The 15,215-nt window shown below is 42.7% G+C and overlaps 1 protein-coding gene and 1 pseudogene across 11 annotated transcripts in view, besides 1 other annotated feature; both read left to right on the forward strand.

Moving 5' to 3' along the window:
• The window catches only part of SPTBN1 (spectrin beta, non-erythrocytic 1), a 215,120-nt gene that overhangs the window by 25,501 nt on the left and 174,404 nt on the right, over positions 1–15,215 (forward strand). The window lies entirely within an intron of this gene.
• C9orf85P1 (C9orf85 pseudogene 1) overlaps positions 2,289–15,215 on the forward strand; it is a 36,004-nt pseudogene continuing 23,077 nt past the window's right edge.
• Positions 2,571–3,081: an enhancer, noted in NCBI's record as "NANOG hESC enhancer chr2:54711535-54712045 (GRCh37/hg19 assembly coordinates)". NCBI's record gives its function as "activates a minimal SCP1, AML or CMV promoter by ChIP-STARR-seq in naive H9 embryonic stem cells {active_cell/tissue: H9 hESC(naive)}" and the evidence as "EXISTENCE:reporter gene assay evidence [ECO:0000049][PMID:30033119]".

Genomic DNA, 15,215 nt, shown 5'->3' on the forward strand with positions numbered 1-15,215 from the left:
TGTTAACTGGTAACTTTCCAGAAAATGAATTATTTGTATATAAAGATTGATACTAGCCAGGCTTTATATACTGACAGTTATTTGTAAAACCTCTTTGCTTCCTCCTTTTACCTTCTTTTCTGAGCTGTCTCTTTTCCTCCGCATGGCTTCCTTTATAAAGCAGCCCATTTTTTGGACATGGTTTTGCTATTGATGAGCCTGAGGTGTGGCATAGTACCACAGGATTGCATGATGAGTGGGATATTTGGCCTCATTATTTACATGGCTTAGTTTTTGGTGTTTGAAGTGCCTGGTCGGATAGGGATTGACTATTAATGGTAGACATTTTCACATTTTGGAGCACTGATCCTCAATCTTGGCAGCGCATTGGCATCCCCTGAGGAGACTTAAAAAAATGCAGGTGTCAGCCGGGCATGGTGGCTCATGCCTGAAATTCCATTGCTTTGGGAGGCTGAGGAGGGAGGATCACTTGAGTCCAGAAGTTCAAGACCAGCTTGGGCAACATAGCAAGACCTCATCTCTACAGCAGGAAAAAAAAAAAAAGAAAAAATTAGAAACAATTAGAGAAAAAATGCAGATGTCTGGGTCCCACTTCCAGAGAATCTGATTGAATTGTCTGGGATACAGAATGGGCACCAGGACTTGCAAGAGGTCCTCAGGTGATTGTAACATAAGCCAAGTATGCATGCTATCCTCTGGCCTCCCCTCAAAATTATGTCTCTGGCCTGTGCTGTCCAGTAGGGAGCCATGAGCACCAGGAAGTTACTTATGTTTATGTGAATTAAAATGAAGTAAACTGAAACTTCATTTCCTCAGTCACACTAGCCACATTTCGAATGCTCAGTAGCCACACATGGCTCATGGCTGCCCTGTTGGATAGTATAGATATAGAACATTTCCATCACAGCAGACAGTTTCATTGGGCAGCCTAGATCTAGGGTGTCAACAAAACATGGGAGGAGCATGAACATTTAAGAAGCCTGACACAGGAAGGACAGGCTTGGAATAAGTAATCCCACAGGACTTGGCAGTACTGAGTCACTCCATACTTTTTTAAGCAGCCTTTTTCTCAATGGTCTTTTGGCACCAGAAGCCCCACAGCAGTTGGTGCAATGGATTATGTGTCACATCTTACAGAAAGGCCCCGTTTAAAGCAGGCTGGCCCGAAGGGGTGTGGTGAGGACTGGGGGCAGGCAAATGTGACCCTGAGGAGGCCGGGCCAGGGAAGAGAGAATGCAGCTTTATTCTTTCAGAGCCGAGGAATGCCCTGGAAGGGAACCGAAGCCTGAGTATTGGGGTTAAACTAGGTGAGAGGAGATTTTTATCTCTTCTGCTGGAGAAAGACCTGCCTCAATAGTTTGCCTCTGCTGGCTCATCTCTAGTGTGTGGGAAACAAGGACAGTGCTAGCACATATTTCCCGTGAAATAAACTCCCATTATGGGCCCCCATGTTCTTGGAGCACTGGGCACCACGGGGTTAAGAATGGAATCAATTATGTTCCATGTTTGTTCAGACATAGCACATAAGATCCAAGGAAGGTAGGGTCACGGAAAAGCGAGGGGTTAGAGGAAACATGAAGTGTATACCAAAGGATGCGGATTTTCTACCCGTTGCTTCCCTCAGCAGGACCTTTTTGGAGATTGTTCCTCCTGCAGGCGTGAGAAACCCTCACGTGGAGAGGCTGTCTGGAAGCCCGCAGTCTGGTCTGTACCATCCAGGCTCTTTGCTGTGCCTTCCTGTCTCCTGCATTTCGCTGGACATTAGCACCTCCCCAGGAGCAGATTTCTGTTGCTTTCTGTGAGCCCACTATAAAGAAAATGCCAAGTGTTCCTGGGCACAGGAAGTGGGTAGGAAGAGCTCTGAGAATGCATGGATCAAAGGCACTTGGGTGATTTAGGGGTGTGACCCCCAGTGGCTTCACAGGGCCTGTGAGTCATTTCAAAGAGTTTCTCCTGTTTTGTCATTGTCTGCTGTTAAACCAGGGTGAAGTTTAAGTGCCTGTTGCAGACCTTATTGCCTTCTTGCTTTGTTCCGCTGGTCAGGTTAGTGTTCTTGACGGGGTTGTATCCAAATATCTGTATTGGGGCTGGGCATGGTAGCTCATGCCTGTAATTCTAGCACTTTGGGGGGCTGAGGCAGTCAGATCACCTGAGCCCAGGGGTTCGAGACCAGCCTGGGAAACATGGTGAAACTCTGTCTCTGCAAAAAATACAAAAATTGGCTGGGCATGGTGGTATGTGCCTGTGCCTTGGGAGGCTGAGGTTGGAGGATTACTTGAGCTCAGGAGGCAGAGGTTGCAGTGAGCTGTGATTGCACCACTGCACTCCATCCTGGGGGACAGAGTGAGACCCTGTCTCAACAACAAAACAAAACCAAATATGTCTGTTGGCAAGTGATAACTGCACGGTATTAACTGCCTTTCTCTGAGAAATAAATTATCGGGGCCCTCCTAGGACTTTTATATGCTTGGGAATTGTGTTTATTTTCCTCTCATTCACTTCAGTCCTGCTCTTGACTGCCAGAAGAGGCCTGCTCTCCTTCCTTTCCCATTGTCAGTAAATTTTAGACTTTTTGTTAGTACTCATCTGCTATTTTTAATTACATTTCACACTTTTATTTTGCCATTTTCTATATTCTCTTTCCTCAAGCTCAGAGAGCAAGGTAGGAAATGTTAACTTCTCCTAAGAACAGGAATATGGGAAGCTGGAAAGCCGAAAAAGAATGCTAAGAGGAATAATAGGAAAGCCAGCGTTGATGACAAGTGTCTTCTGTAGTTGCCATCCTGGTAACTCTTCAGGGTGCCACTATTCCTCTATGCTTATGGATGTTTGAGGCCTTTTATAGGATAGAATTTCAAAGGACAAGTAGAGAAGTGTTAACTCCTGGGAGTAGTTCGTTGGTTTTCCCTTCATCCTTTTGCCTGTACCCGGCGTGGGGTGGTTGTGTCGGAGACAAGCTCCCAGAAAGGCGCAATGTGGCTCATTCCAGGCCTCAAGCACCAGAATACGTTTAGCTTCAAAAATGACAAGTTTGATAAGAGTGTTCAGACCAAGAAAATTAATGCAAAACTTCCTGATATAGTATGTCAGCGCTATAAAGAAGTTCTTGAGTGTCGTGTAAAATACAAAAAATACAAACCATTATCAAACCTAAAAAATGTGTTAAATGTTTATGAAAGACAGTGAAGGATTCTTATCACACAGTGTGTAGACCATGCGCCTATGAACTTGAAGTTTGCACAGAATGTGGAAAGAAAGAAGACATTGTTATTCCGTTCAGTAAGGAACCAGAAAAAATAAAATATTGAAAACAATCGCCTCTCCCTCTCCCTCTCCCTCTCCCTCCGTCTCCCTCTCCGTCTCCCTCTCGGTCTCCCTCTCCCTCTCTTTCCATGGTCTCCCTCTGATGCCAAGCCGAAGCTGGACTGTACTGCTCCCATCTCGGCTCACTGCAACCTCCCTGCCTGATTCTCCTGCCTCAGCCTGCCGAGTGCCTGCAATTGCAGGCACGCGCCGCCACGCCTGACTGGTTTTCGTATTTTTTTGGTGGAGACAGGGTTTCACTGTGTTGGCCGGGCTGGTCTCCAGCTCCTAACCGTGAGTGATCTGCCAGCCTCGGCCTCCCAAGGTGCCGGGATTGCAGACGGAGTCTCGTTCACTCAGTGCTCAATGGTGCCCAGGCTGGAGTGCAGTGGCGTGATCTCGGCTGGCTACAACCTCCACCTCCCAGCCGCCTGCCTTGGCCTCCCAAAGTGCCGAGATTGCAGCCTCTGCCCGGCCGCCACCCCATCTGGGAAGCGAGGAGCGTCTCTGCCTGGTCGCCCATCGTCTGGGATGTGAGGAGCCCCTCTGCCTGGCTGCCCAGTCTGGAAAGTGAGGAGCGTCTCTGCCCGGCCGCCATCCCATCTAGGAAGTGAGGAGCGCCTCTTCCCGGCCGCCATCACATCTAGGAAGTGAGGAGCGTCTCTGCCCGGCCGCCCGTCGTCTGAGATGTGGGGAGCGCCTCTGCCCCGCCGCCCTGTCTGGGATGTGAGGAGCGCCTCTGCCCGGCCGCGACCCGTCTGGGAGGTGAGGAGCGTCTCTGCCCGGCCGCCCCGTCTGAGAAGTGAGGAGACCCTCTGCCTGGCAACCACCCCGTCTGAGAAGTGAGGAGCCTCTCCGCCCGGCAGCCGCCCCGTCCCGGAGGTGAGGGGCGCCTCTGCCCGGCCGCCCCTACTGGGAAGTGAGGAGCCCCTCTGCCCGGCCAGCCACCCTGTCCGGGAGGGAGGTGGGGGGGTCAGCCCCACGCCCGGCCAGCCGCCCCGTCTGGGAGGTGAGGGGCGCCTCTGCCCGGCCGCCCCTGCTGGGAAGTGAGGAGCCCCTCTGCCCGGCCACCACCCTGTCTGGGAGGTGTACCCAACAGCTCATTGAGAACGGGCCAGGATGACAATGGCGGTTTTGTGGAATAGAAAGGGGGGAAAGGTGGGGAAAAGACTGAGAAATCGGATGGTTGCCGTGTCTGTGTAGAAAGAAGTAGACATGGGAGACTTTTCATTTTGTTCTGTACTAAGAAAAATTCTTCTGCCTTGGGATCCTGTTGATCTGTGACCTTACCCCCAACCCTGTGCTCTCTGAACCATGTGCTGTGTCCACTCAGGGGTCAATGGATTAAGGGCGGTGCAAGATGTGCTTTGTTAAACAGATGCTTGAAGGCAGCATGCTCGTTAAGAGTCATCACCACTCCCTAATCTCAAGTACCCAGGGACACAAATACTGTGGAAGGCAGCAGGGTCCTCTGCCTAGGAAAACCAGAGACCTTTTTTCACTTGTTTATCTGCTGACCTTCCCTCCACTATTGTCCTATGACCCTGCCAAATCCCCCTCTGCGAGAAACACCCAAGAATGATCAATTAAAAAAAAATAATAAATTAAAAAAAAAAAAAGAAAATCTAAGTTCTAACCATAGAAGAAGCTGCAGAAGAAATGAAGAAAGGGATGATAATTTAGATTTTGATGTTGATTTAGAAGACACAGGAGGAGGCCAGGTGTGGTGGCAAGAGCCTTGCCGGGGTCTTCTGATGCTTGTATTGAAAAAACTGCTTTTGCTTTGTAACAAGCAAACATAAGTGTTGGTACTTTTGCTCTGAGTCATTTACGTGAGATCATTTATCAAACGGCGCTGAGGACCAGTTTTTGAGGCTAGCAATATAATAATGTCATCTTATTTTTATATGAGCTAGTTCTTACATAACCATCAATTCTGAATCTGGTTTACTTTGGTATTAGGTAATATACACAGTTTATATTGTTCATGTATAAAATTTGTTTTTCTATAGCTTTTTCTGATTTCCTCATTAGGATTTCTTTTTTTTTTTTTTTTTTTTGCTGCTTTTTAACTTTTTCAAAAATCAGCACAATTTTTCCCTTTGAAATTAAATAGATTACTTGGTTTCCAACATTTAATTTTGTCTATTATCAGAAAAAGTTTTCACGTAATGAAATTAAGCAATATAATATTAATGGAAAACATTATTCTCAGGACTAATTACTGCGCACCTTTGATGTGTACTTGTTTGCATTTACTATATGCATGACATACTACTACTGTACAATGAATCGCAGTGCAGAGTAATGATGATTCAATAAATGTAGATCTATTTTGCATATTTGCACAACTTAAGAAATACCAACATCATTTTCTCTGAGAAGCCTTCCCTGATTTTCAGCCTAGGTACAATTCCTCAGACATGTGTTCACAAAGCTGCATACTTTTCCTTCACAATATTATCTAATGTCACATTTCTTCATTAATAATTATTAATGTCAGTCTACCCACTAAACTAGAGTACCATTGCTTTTCTAGTGTTACAATAAATGAATAAATGAATCAGTGAAGTCATGTATCATTAGGATGTCGCAGTATCTTTTATGAAATACTCAAAGTCAAAAGTTGGTCAGAATTTCACATTCTTAAATTGGCTTTTAATATAGTGATATTAATTCACTTGATGGTCTCCTCCTGTGTCTTTTTTTTTTTTTTTGAGACGGAGTCTTGCTCTGTCACCCAGGCTGGAGTGCAGTGGCACGATCTCAGCTCACTGCAAGCTCCGCCTCCCAGGTTCACGCCATTCTCCTGCCTCAGCCTCCCAAGTAGCTGGGACTATAGGCGCCTGCCACCACACCCGGCTAATTTTTTGTATTTTTGGTAGAGACGGGGTTTCACTGTGTTGGCCAGGATGGTCTTGATCTCTTGACCTCATGATCCGCCCACCTCAGCCTCCCAAAGTGCTGGGATTACAGGCGTGAGTCACTGCGCCCGGCCCATCATATCCTTTATGAATAAGAATTTCTAGTCACTAGGTCCAGGAGTCTGTATTTTGAAATTCCTAGGTGATTTTGGTGACCATCCAAGTTTGAGACCCACTGGCCTTACCGTCATGCCTCAATTTTCAAATGAGGAAACTGAGGACTAGGGCGGGAAAGTGATTTCCTTGCAATTAAAGGCAGCCAGTGGTAAGACGAGACCAAGGACCTTTCGGAGGTCCCTTGCACCCCTGAGAGTCAGTGACTCTCTGTTTTCACCTTGGACTGCCGTGATGTCTGACTCATACTGTAGTCTTCTTCCTAAAATCCTCTTCTTTTTATTTTTTATTTTTGGCAGTGTGTTGAATTCTCCTCTAGTTTCATTCAGTGAGTGCTATTTCTTGCTTCATTATAAAAGGTGGTGTGTCACAGGTCCTGTGTGATCACACAGGCTAAGTGTAAGCTTTGAGAATGATCTCTTGGACCCTTTTTCTCAGATTTCAGTGTTGTGCATTATTATCTCATCGTGGTGGCTTCTTTGTGATTTAGTTTCCCCTCCTCCCTTCACCATAAAAAAAGTCTTATCTCCTGATGTATTTTTGGCTGCAGAATAACTCCAGATGGTACATTTTGTGTAGGGAAAAAAAATAACAGAATTTTTCACACTCTTCTGTGAATTATTTTTTGACTTTCAATTATAATGAAGTTATTAATCTTACAAAGGCTCGCTTTGTAAAGAGACTAATCTGAATAAACTTGCTTGTATACAATAAGTGCCATGGCAAAAATTAAGAGTACAGTTATTATCAGAGACTAAAATAACAATTTAATTTTCTAGAAATAGAAAATTAAGAAAAATAACTTTTAATGCTGGGATTTGACATTAAGAAATGAATGACAAAAATGGGACCAAATAAAATGCTGTAATTGGCCAGACATGGTAGCTCATGCCTGTAATCCCAGCACTTGGGGAGGCTGAGGTGGAAGGATCACTTGAGCTCAGGAGTTCAAGACTAGCCTAGGCAAAACCTGGTCTGTATTTAAAAAAAAAAAAAAAAAAAAAAAACCAGGCATGGTGGTGTGTGCCTACAGTCCCACCTACTCAGGAGGTAGAGGCAGGAGGATCACTTGAGCCCAGGAAGTTGAGGCTATAGTGAGCCATGATCATGCCACTGTGCTCCAACCTGGGCAACAGAGTGAGACCCTGTCTCAAAAAAAAAAAAAATAGTAAATGGTATAACTGAAAGTACCTTGAAAAAATATGGCAATATGCAGTTGCAAGTTGCTGATTTTTAGAATCATAATTCTAAGCCGGATGTGGTGGCTCACACCTGTAATCCCAGCACTTTGGGAGGCTGAAGTGGGTGGATCACTTAAGGCCAGGAGTTTGAGACCAGCCTGGCCAACATGGTGAAACCCCGTCTTACTAAAAATACAAAAATTAGCCAGGCGTGGTGGTGTGCATCTGTAATCTCTGTTCTTGGAAGGCTGAGGCATGAGAATCACTTGAACCTGGGAGGTGGAGGTTGCAGTGAGCTGAGATCGTGCCACTGCACTCCAGCCAGGCTGACAGAGAGAGGGCACCCTGTCTCAAAAAAAACCCAAAAATCACAATTCTGATTTGAGAGCTGATGACAGTTGCAGATGATTAAGAGCTTTTACAAAGAGCGTGCATACATTTAGCAATCTCTAATTGGGAATGTTTTGGAAAACACTCCTGAGAATGTAGGTTATTTATAGAAGATGTCCTTTACTTTGATATAATCTTCCTAATGTGGTTTTTATCAGTTGGATTTTTCTGGATCAACGAGAAGACCTATGAGCCTAAAATGTTTGTAATTCTAGCTGTGTTTCTATAAGAACATGAGAGAACCTCGGCATTAACCATTCTTGCTGGTCTCACAGAACACCCCAAAAATCTGTGCAGTTTTGCTGGAGTGATGACAGAGAATGGAAAACAAGTTTATGAATTTTTTTTTTTTTTTTTGTGAGGCGGAGTTGCACTTGTCACCCAGGCTGGAGTGCAATCTCAGCTCACTGCAACCTCCGCCTCCCAGGTTCAAGCGATTCTCTTCTTTCAGCCTCCTGAGTAGCTGGGATTACAGCTGCGTGCCACCATGCCCTGCTAACTTTTGTATTTTTAGTAGAGACAGGGTTTCACCATGTTGGCCAGGCTGGTCTTGAACTCCTGACCTCAGGTGATCCGCTCGCTTCGACCTCCCAAAGTGCTAGGAGTACAGGCAAGAGCCACAGTGCCTGGCCTGTTTATGAAGATTTTATAAACAGATTTCTAAATTCAGAAAGTATTTAAGGGATCCCCTCTGGTGGCACTTTAATTCAGATGGGGTCCACAAAATAGGAAAATATTTACTAGGAAATTTGAACAATCTTGAAATCACTGAAAATGGTGATGTGATTCTCCAGAAATTTCTGATTGGGAATAAGCACTTTGAAGTAATTGGCTATCTTATTAATCTGCTGTTCCTGAATTTCCCCTTAGTAGCGGACATGCTTTATTGTATTAAGTTGGATAACCACCTTAGTAGCAAAGATGGGCTTGGGCTTCAGTCTGGTCAATAGGCATCTTATTCAGGTAGATGCCAGATGGGAGGGATGGGGACAGCTTAGTGAAGAAGGATGAGGCTGGAGGTGACTCTTGAAAAATGATTAGTGTTAGTTGGAAAGATTAAGGTGTGGGAGAGTCCCACGCAGGGGAACAGCAGGCAGAAAGCCAGGGAGAGAGAAAACAGTGTGTTTTGAGGACCTCTTCTGCTGTGGCTGGAATAAAGAGGGCTGTGTTGAAGAGTGAAGGGAGCTGAGGCCAGGCAAAAACTCTTGCATGCCTTGAGAGGAGGTTTTACCCAAAAGACAAGTGAGGAGGGTGGTGAAACATTTTAGTCAAGCTTGTGTGTTCTTCAAAGCTCGTTTGAGCTCTGGCATGGAAGAGGATGGATTTCAGTTGGGCAAAATTCAGAGCAGGGAAACCAGTCAGGAAGTTGTGGCAATAATTTGGTTAAGAAACTCTAAGGGACCTTACTAAGGTCAAGGTTAGACTTTGTAAATTTTGGGGTCCAGAAAAACTGTTAATAAACTTAACCGACAGGAAGATTCCCCTGGCATCATAGCCTGTCACTGTGAGGATTTACCTTCTTTTTCACATAGTAATAGATTGTGAAAAGTCTCCAAAACCATACTCAAGGATTGAAGGTCACATTTTCTCTTTCGACCATTCTACACTTAGGTAGAAAAAAATTTCATTACCAACTAGATAATAGGATTTGAGCTGTTGTGGTTGACATTCTTGATGAAGGACTGATCAGAAATTCTTGGTCATCTTATGTAAGAATAACTTCTTGGAGTAAATATGTTCCTGAAGAGCTGCCATTTAAAGTAAACTTTTGAATATCATATCTTAAATGCTTTGTAATCATAAACATTTAAATTCTGTGGTTCAAGTAATCATTTTTAAGTAATTTACTTCTAATTTCTCTCTCTTTTTTTTTTGGAGACAAGGCTGTCACCCAGGCTGGAGTGCAGTGGTGCAAACACACTTCACTGCAGTCTCAACCTCCTTGGCTCAAGCAGTCCTTCTGCCTCAGCCTCTTGGTGTGGCTGGGACCACAGATGCATGCTGCCATACCTAGCTAACTTTTCTTTTCTTTTTATTTTTTGGTAGAGACGAGGTCTCGCCGTGTTGCCCAGGCTGGTCTTGAACTTCTAGGCTCAGGCAGTCCTCCACCTTGCCTCCCAAAGTGCTGGGATTACAGTCATGAGCCACTGCACCCAGTTTGTTTCTCTCTTTTTTAAATCCAAATTTTTCTATTAGGCTTTGCAAATAGGCCCTTAAAGAAATAGGCAGCATGGCTGGTAAACAAATTTTGTTCTTTAGATGTTTCCAGAGAAATAATGTGGTATTTTAAGAGCTTTTAACAAGAGACCTCAAGATAATTATTTTTAGGATATACCATAATTTAAAAAATAACTTCTGAATATGAGAGTAATACATTAAAGAATATTCCTGTAATCCTAGAGCTAAGCCATGCTATAATTCTGGTCCAGTTTACGGTTTGCGCTCACATATACACTCACATTTTTATACCCTTTGTTTTTATGGGTTGTATTCATGCTAAAAAATTGTTTTGAAAACACTTTTTATGGCTGTATAAAGTAGGTGTACCCTATTTCTAAAGTAGGTGTGCCCTATTACTGGACATTTAGTTTGTCTGCAGTTGTTTTTTTGTTTTTTTTTTTTTTTGCTACTATAGAAAAGCACAGTGATGAGCATCACTGCATTCATATTTTTATCTGAAGTTGCCTTTTCCCCTAGATCCCTGAAAGTGGATTTGCTGGGTCTGAGGAGTTTTACTTAACACCTTTTTCAAAGGCTGTGTCATTCCTGTGACCTCACTGCAGGTGGTGGACCTACTGCCCTTTGCACCAACTGACTGACTGCTGTGGTAGATGCCTTCGAACTTAGGCAAGCTAGTAACATTTTATATGGGGTTTGGTTTTTACTGAAAAGGTTTGCTTCTGGAACATTTATGTAAGTTACAGCAGTCTTCATGCTGAGGACACATGGACACGTCTCTTATGTCTCAAGCAAAGATACCCCCAGCCTGATGTAGAAATGTAATTGACTACTGAGTGGATTTCCTTTCATGTGGAATAGAATGAGATTTATTGGCTTGTATAAACTAGAGCAGAAAAGTTAATAGAAATAATAAAAGCTATCAGACTCTGTTTAGCTCTGTTATGCTATTACACTCAGATCCTTTAAAAACTGTGTTTAGAAAATTGTTGTGCAGTTTAATATGTCTGCAGAATATTGAATACAGTGTCCATCAGAAAATCTAATCCTTTTTTAAAGTTTAGATAGAACTAAATAACATATCTTTTTTTTTTTTTTTTTTTTTTGAGACAGGGTCTCACTCTATTGCCCAGACTGAAGTGCAGTGGCACAATCAGAGCTCACTGCAACCTCCGCTTCCTGGGTTCAAGGGATTCTCCCACCTCAGCCTGCTGCGTATCTGGGACCACAGGCACACACCACCATGCCTGGCTGATTTTTGCATGTTTTGTAGAGATGGGGTTTCGCCATGTTGCCCAGGCTGGTCTCAAACTCCTGGGCTTCAGTAATCCTCCCACCTCAGCCTCCCAAAGTGTTGGAATTACAGGCATGAACCACCGCACCCGGCCTAAGGAGCATATCTTGATGTTTCTAGTTTTCTTATAATTTCCTTCTGTGTTCTGGGTTGCTCTTACATATATATTCTATAAATTGTGTGTTTTGTGTTTTCTTTTTTGGGGGGTTGGGGGAGACAGTCTAACTCTTGTCACGCAGACTGGAGTGCAGTGGCGTGATCTCAGCTCACTGCAACCTCCCCCTCCCAGATTCAAGTGATTCTTGTGCCTCAGCAGAGTAACTGGGACTACAGGTGTGTATCACCACGCCTGGCTAATTTTTGTATTTTTAGTAGAGACAAGGTTTTGACATGTTGGCCCGGCTAGTCTTGAACTCCTTGCCTCAAGTTATCCACCTGCCTTGGCCTCCCAAAGTGTTGGGATTACAGGCATGAGCCACCACACCTGGCCTTATTTTTATGTGTTCTGAATTTAGGTTAAAATTGAAGAAGAGGGTCCAAGACTAAGTGCCAACATAGATATTTGCAGGTGAAATTGCTTTTCTTTGTGTAGCCCATGTTGTATTACTTAATAGCCTCTTAAACTGGAGACCCCTGATACCTTACATTCAAATGTGAGTGATGATAGGGTGTCTATCAAAGACAACAGAAGTTAATATAACTTCCCCAAAGTCACGTGAGTGGGTTACTCTCTTTACTTGGAACACATGCAAAGAAAGGGTCCTCCTTCAACACTTGAAGATAATCACAGTGTCATGCTCTTTCTCATAAATGCCACTGTAGAGAGTACAGAGAAAAATGCAATTAATGGTGCTACCCAAATCCTGAAAAGAATGAGGTACGGTGTAGGAATTGGACAGCAGACAGAGTGCAAGTTTTTACATAATTGTAATTAATACAGACATGACTTACTTGAGAAATTTAAAATGTGAATATTTTAAAAATTACAGAGGATGATTATTCACATTATAAAGTGACTCATCATCCCTTTTAAAAAGGACTTATCTTTTAAGAGGATATTCCTCTGGTGCATTTGAGTCCTTGTCTGCTCATTGTTTTAAACAACTTGCAGTTTTTTTAACAAATTACAGTATGACCTGTGATATTACCCAGACATTCAATTCCGAGGTATTTAACTAGAGATACCTAGGAATGAAATGAAAACACATATTCGTACAAAAAAAATACACAAATGTTTATAGCAGCTTTATTTGTAGTAACCCCAAACTGGAAACAACCTACATGTCCATCATGGGTGAATGGATAAACAAACTGTTGTAGCCATTTAATGGTATACTATTCAGCAGTAAAAACAAACTATTGGTATATGTAGCAACATCAGTGAATCTGAGAATAATTATACTGGGTAAGCAGCCAGACAAAAAAAGAGTTCTAACTGTATGATTCCATTTATATAGAAATTACAAACTAATCTCTAGCGACAGAAAGCAGATCCATGGTCGTCTGGAGGTGGAGAATAAGGGTAAGTGAGGATGGGCCAGGAGGCATGGACTCCAAAGAGGCATGGGAAACTTAGGAGTGATGGGTATGCTCATTTTGTTGATGGCAATGATGGTTTCACAGGTATATACATAGGTCAAAACTTGCCAAATTGTGTAATATGCACATTGTATATCAGTTATACCTGAATAAAGCTGTTTTTTTTTAAAAAAAAAAAAATGTCCTGAAAAAAGTTCTGTCTTCCCTTGTCTGCCAATTGCACCGTTCTTTATATCTCATCCAGCCTGCTCACAGTCAAGAACAGGGGCAGAAGTGGGCTGACAGGTGTAGTGCAGTGTGTGGAATGCTGTGACAGGTGTGGGCACAGAAGGTACAATGAAGACCCCCTGGAGGAGGTGAGCTTGAGGCGAGTGTAGAGAGGGCATCTCAGAGGCAATTCTGAGAATCATAGGAGGTTGCAGGTGTGTGGCAGAGGTTGGTCTGGAGGACAGCAGGGACCATACATTTGGAGCATTGTTTTGAAAGCGTTGTACATCACTGACGGGTGGTAAGCAGGGGACAGACAAAATCAACTCGGCTTTGCCCACTCTGGGAAGATGAAGAGGCAGGAATCCCAGGTTCAGAGCTCAAGGAACCCTTATGTGATGCCACCCCCTCAAATCTGTTTAAATCATATTAGGAGAACCTTGTTGTCCAAGAGGGCTCTGTCTTGCTAGACAGTTCTGCGTTGTCCAGGAAACTGCAGACTACATTGGAATCCTACCTGTACAAATACTTAAGATGTTTCATTTCAAAAATAAAGTGTTCTCTGTAGAAATTAAGGAAAATACACTTAAGAAAAATAAGAAAATTTAAATTGCCTTTAATCCCACCACCCAGTGCTAAATACTTTTAACATTTTGGTGTATATTGTTTCAGATATATGTATGTTTTAAAACAAAATTAGAATCATAATTTGCATGTGTTTTTACCTTTATTTCCTCTGAGCATTATTCCATGTTTTATGTAGACATAAAATATCATTGTTTTTATTTGATGCATGAGAGTCTACATATTATATGTATGGTGATTTATTTAACCAATAACCTCTTTTGGGGATTTTTTTGGTTGTATAATTTTGTTTAAAAATTCTGGGAAAACCATAATTACTTTATTAAAAAGCAAGTAAATCAAAGAATATAGTTAATTTTTTTATTAACAGGTGCAGTTTCTTAATTCATATTAAAGAAAAATAGCCTTGGTCTAGTAGACATTTTAACTAAATGAAGGGAGGATGGTCCCCTTCTAGAAGTACACATGGGCTTATACAGTAGTTCTTTGTTACCCAGTGATAATTATTTCATCTGTGCTATTCCCAAAAAGTAACCATCTATGGGAACTCTGTTGTTCCCAAAGGAAGATTTACTCCCCATATCAGAAATATGTTAAAAAAAAGTATAAATAGGCCAGGCACGATGACTCACACCTGTAATCCTAGAACTTTGGGAGGCTGAGGCAGGGTGGATTGCCTAAGCTCAGGAGTTCGAGACCAGCCTGGGCAACACAGTGAAACCCCGTCTCTACTAAAATACAAAAAATTAGCCAGGCATGTTGGCGGGCGCCTGTAATCCCAGCTACTCGGGAGGCTGAGGCTGGAGAATTGCTAGAACCCAGGAGGCGGAGGTTGCAGTGAGCCGAGATTGCGCCACTGCACTCCAGCCTGGGCGACAGAGTGATACTCCGTGTCTTAAAAAAAAAAAAAAAAAAAAGTATGAATAACAGTAACAGCTAACATTTTTTTTGGAATACTTTTATCTTCTACATATTATTAGAAGCATTTCACATGTATTAACTTATTTAGTCATCAAAACAGTTCTAGATGTAAGTTCAGTTATTTTTCTGTTTAACAGATACGTAGACAGAAGCACAGAATGTTAGTAACTTACCCAAATAAATGATCAACTTATATGAAAACATATCCATCATCACTAGTAAGCAGACTTGCAAATGATAATAACAAGCTATCACTTTGGAGACCTGCAGTGATCTTAGAAACTTAATACTTGACGCTGATTAAGGTAGAAGGAAACAGGCCCTCTGTACAAGGTTGATGGGAGGGTCCATTTCTGTAGAGCAGTTGGTTTCCTTCTAGAAAATTTATCCTATGAAGATAATTGGACAAGGTTATAATGATATTACTGTGCTCATGGAAGTATTGAGAATAGTGAACAACTATGTGTCCTGTAATAGGGACTTGGTTAAATAAATTTTGGTACATCCATATTGTAGAACACCATACAGCTATTACATATGATGATATGCGCATATGTTTATGGAAGTCGTTGCTCAGGA

The sequence above is a fragment of the Homo sapiens genome, chromosome 2, assembly GCF_000001405.40.
Source record: "Homo sapiens chromosome 2, GRCh38.p14 Primary Assembly".
Lineage (NCBI taxonomy): Eukaryota > Metazoa > Chordata > Mammalia > Primates > Hominidae > Homo > Homo sapiens.